Raw genomic sequence first — 3,924 nt, forward strand, 5'->3', positions numbered from 1 at the left:
AAATATCTTCACATAAAAACTAGACAGAAGCACTCTCAGAAACTTCTTTGAGATGTTTGCATTCAACTCACAGAGTTGATACTTTCTTTTGAGAGAGCCATTTTGAAACACTGTTTTTGTAGAATCTGCAAGTGGATATTTGGAGCGCTTTGAGGCCTATGGTGGAAAAGCAAATATCTTCACAGAAAAACTAGACAGAAGGATTCTCTGAAACTTCTTTGTGATGTGTGCATTAAACTCACAGAGCTGAACCTTTCTTTTGATAGAGCATTTTTGAAACACTCTTTTTGTGGAATCTGCAAGTGGATATTTGGATGGCCTTGAGGCCTATGGTGAATAAGGAAATATCTTCACATAACAACTAGACAGAAGCATTCTCCATAACTACTTTGTGATGTGTGCATTCAACTCATACAGTTGAACCTTTCTTTGGATAGAGCAGTTTTGAAACACTCCTTTTGTAGCATTTGCAAGGGGATATTTGGAGGGCTTTGAGGCCTATGGTGGAAAAGCAAATATCTTCACATAAAAATTAGACAGAAGGATTCTCAGAAATTTCTTTGAGATGTGTGCATTCATCTCACAGAGTTGAACCTTTCTTTTGAGAGAGCAGTTTTGAAACACTCTTTTTCTACAATCTGCAATTTGGTAATTGGAGCACTTTGAGGCCTATGGTGGAAAAGGAAATATATTCACATAAAACCCAGACAGAAGCATTATCCATAACTTCTTTGTGGTGTGTGCATTCAACTCACAGATTTGAACGTTTCTTTTGATTGAGCAGTTTTGGAACACTCTTTTGGTAGAATCTGCAAGTGGATATTTAGTTCCCTTTGAGGCCTATGTTGGAAAATGAAATATCTTCACATAAACACTAGACAGTAGCATTCGCAGAAACTTCTTTGTATTCTGTGCATTCAACTCACAGAGATGAAACTTTCTTTTGATAGAGTATTTTTGAAACACTCTTTTTGTAGAATCTGCAAGTGGATATTTGGATCGCTTTAAGGCCTATGGTGGAAAAGGAAATACCTTCACATAAAAACTAGACGGAAGCGTTCTCAGAAACTTCTTTGTGATGTGTGCATTGAACTCACAAAGTTGATCATTTCTTTTCATAGAGCAGTTTTGAAACACTGTGTTCGTAGAATCTGCAAGTGGATATTGGGAGCGCTTTGAGGCCTATGTTGGAAAAAGAAATATCATCACATAAAAACTAGACAGAAGCATTCACCATCACTTCTTTGTGTTGTGTGCATTCAAATCACAGAGTTGAACCTTTCTTTTGATAGAGCAGCTTTGAAACCCTATTTTTGTATAATGTGCAAGTGGATATTTGGAGTGCTTTGAGGCCTATGATAGAAAAGGAAATATCTTCATATAAAAACTAGACAGAAACATTATCCGAAACTCCTTTGTGATGTGTGCAATCAACTCACAGAGTTGAACCTGTCTTTTGATTGAGCAGTTTTGAAACACTCTTTTTTGCATAATCTGCCTGTGGATATTTGTACTGCTTTGAGGCCTTTGGTGGAAAAGGAAGTATCTTTCCATAAAAACTAGAGAGAAGAATTCTCAGATTCTTCTTTGTGATGTCTGCATTCAACTCACAGATTTGAACGTTTCTTTTGACTGAGCAGTTTGGAAATACTCTTTTTGTAGTATCTGCAAATGTTTATGTGGAGCACTTTGAGGCCTGTAGCTGAAAAGGAAATGTCTTCACATAAAAACCAGAAAGAAGCATTCTGAGAAACTTCTTTGGATGAGTGCATTCATCTCACAGAGTTGAATCTATCTTTTATTTGAGCAGTTTTGAGAAACTCTTTTTTTAGAATCTGCAAGTGAATATTTGGAGCGCCTTGGGTCTTATGGTGGGAAAGGAAATATCTTCACATAAAAACTAGACAGAGGCATTCTGAGAAGTGTCTTTGTGATGTGTGCATTCATCTCACAGAGTTGAACCACTCTTTTGACTGAGCAGTTTTGAAACACTCTTTTTGTAGAATCTGCATGTGAATATTTGGAGCGCTTTGAGGCCTATGCTTGAAAATGAAATATCTTCACATAAAAACTAGACAGAAGCATTCTCAGAAACTTCTTTGTGAAGTGTGCATTGAACTTACAAAGTTGATCGTTTCTTTTGATAGAGCAGTTTTGAAACACTCTTTTCGTAGAATCTGCAAGTGGATATTGGGAGCGCTTTGAGGCCTATGTTGGAAAAAGAAATGTCTTCACATAAAAACTAGACAGAAGCATTCACCGTCACTTTTTTGTGTTGTGTGCATTCAAATCACAGAGTTGAACCTTTCTTTTGATAGAGCAGCTTTGAAACCCTATTTTTGTATTATGTGCAAGTGGATATTTGGAGGGCTTTGAGGCCTATGATAGAAAAGGAAATATCTTCATATAAAAACTAGACAGAAACATTCTCAGAAACTACTTTGTGATGTTTGCATTCAACTCACAGAGTTGAACCCTTTTTTTGATAGAGCAGTTTTGAAACATTCTTTTTGTAGAATCTGCAAGTGGTTATTTGGAGTGCTTTGAGGCCTCTGGTAGAAAAGGAAATTTCTTCATATAAAAACTAGACAGCAGCATTCTCAGAAACTACTTTGTGATGTTTGCATTCAACTCACAGTGTTGAACATTCCTTTTGATAGAGCATTTTTGAAACACTCTTTTTGCAGAATCTGCAAGTAGATACTTGGACCGCTTTGAGGCCTTCAGTGGAAATGGGAATATCATCACATAAAAACTAGACAGAAGCATACTCAGAAACTTCTTTGTGATGAGTTCATTGAACTCACAAAGTTGAACCTTTCTTTCGATATACCAGTTTTGAAACACTCTTTTTGTAGAATCTGCAAGTGCACATTTGGAGCGCTTTGAGGCCTGTAGTGGAAAAGGAAATATCCTCACAAAGAAACGAGACAGAAGCATTCTCAGAAACTTCTTTGTGTTGTGTGCATTCAACTCACAGAGTCGAATCTTCCTTTTGATAGAGCAGTTTTTAGACACTCTTTTTGTAGAATCTGCAAGTGGGTATTTGGAGAGCTTTGAGGCCTATGGTGGAAACGGGATATCTTCACAGAAAAACTAGACAGAAGCATTCTCAGAAACCACTTTGTGATGTGTGCATTCAACTCACAGAGTTGAACCTTCCTTTTGATAGAGCAGTTTTGACACAGTCTTTTTGTAGAATCTGCAAGTGGACACTTGGAGCGCGTTGAGGACTTTGGTGGAAATGGGAATATCTTCACATAAAAACTAGACAGAAGCATTCTCAGAAACTTCTTTGTTATGTGTGCATTCAACTCACAGAGTTGAACTTTTCTTTTGACAGAGCAGTTTTGAAACACTTTTTTGTATAATCTGCAAGAGGATATTTTGTTCCGTTTGAGGCCTAAGTTGGAAAAAGAAATATTTTCACATAAAAACTAGACAGAAACATTCTCTGAAACTCCTTTGTGATGTGTGCAATCAACTCACAGAGTTGAACCTGTCTTTTGATTGAGCAGTTTTGAAACACTCTTTTTTGCATAATCTGCCTGTGAATATTTGTACTGCTTTGAGGCCTTTGGTGGAAAAGGAAGTATCTTTCCATAAAAACTAGAGAGAAGAATTCTCAGATTCTTCTTTGTGATGTCTGCATTCAACTCACAGATTTGAACGTTTCTTTTGATTGAGCAGTTTGGAAATACTCTTTTTGTGGTATCTGCAAATGTTTATGTGGAGCACTTTGAGGCCTGTAGCTGAAAAGGAAATATCTTCACATAAAAACCAGAAAGAAGCATTCTGAGAAACTTCTTTGTGATAAGTGCATTCATCTCACAGAGTTGAATCTATCTTTTATTTGAGCAGTTTTGAAAAACTCTTTTTTTAGAATCTGCAAATGAATATTTGGAGCGCCTTGAGTCTTATGGT

At 36.7% G+C, this 3,924-nt stretch overlaps 1 annotated feature.

Annotated features, from left to right (window-relative positions):
- Window positions 2,847-3,348: an enhancer, noted in NCBI's record as "OCT4 hESC enhancer chr6:61904506-61905007 (GRCh37/hg19 assembly coordinates)". NCBI's record gives its function as "activates a minimal SCP1, AML or CMV promoter by ChIP-STARR-seq in primed H9 embryonic stem cells {active_cell/tissue: H9 hESC(primed)}" and the evidence as "EXISTENCE:reporter gene assay evidence [ECO:0000049][PMID:30033119]".

The sequence above is a fragment of the Homo sapiens genome, chromosome 6, assembly GCF_000001405.40.
Source record: "Homo sapiens chromosome 6, GRCh38.p14 Primary Assembly".
NCBI lineage: Eukaryota > Metazoa > Chordata > Mammalia > Primates > Hominidae > Homo > Homo sapiens.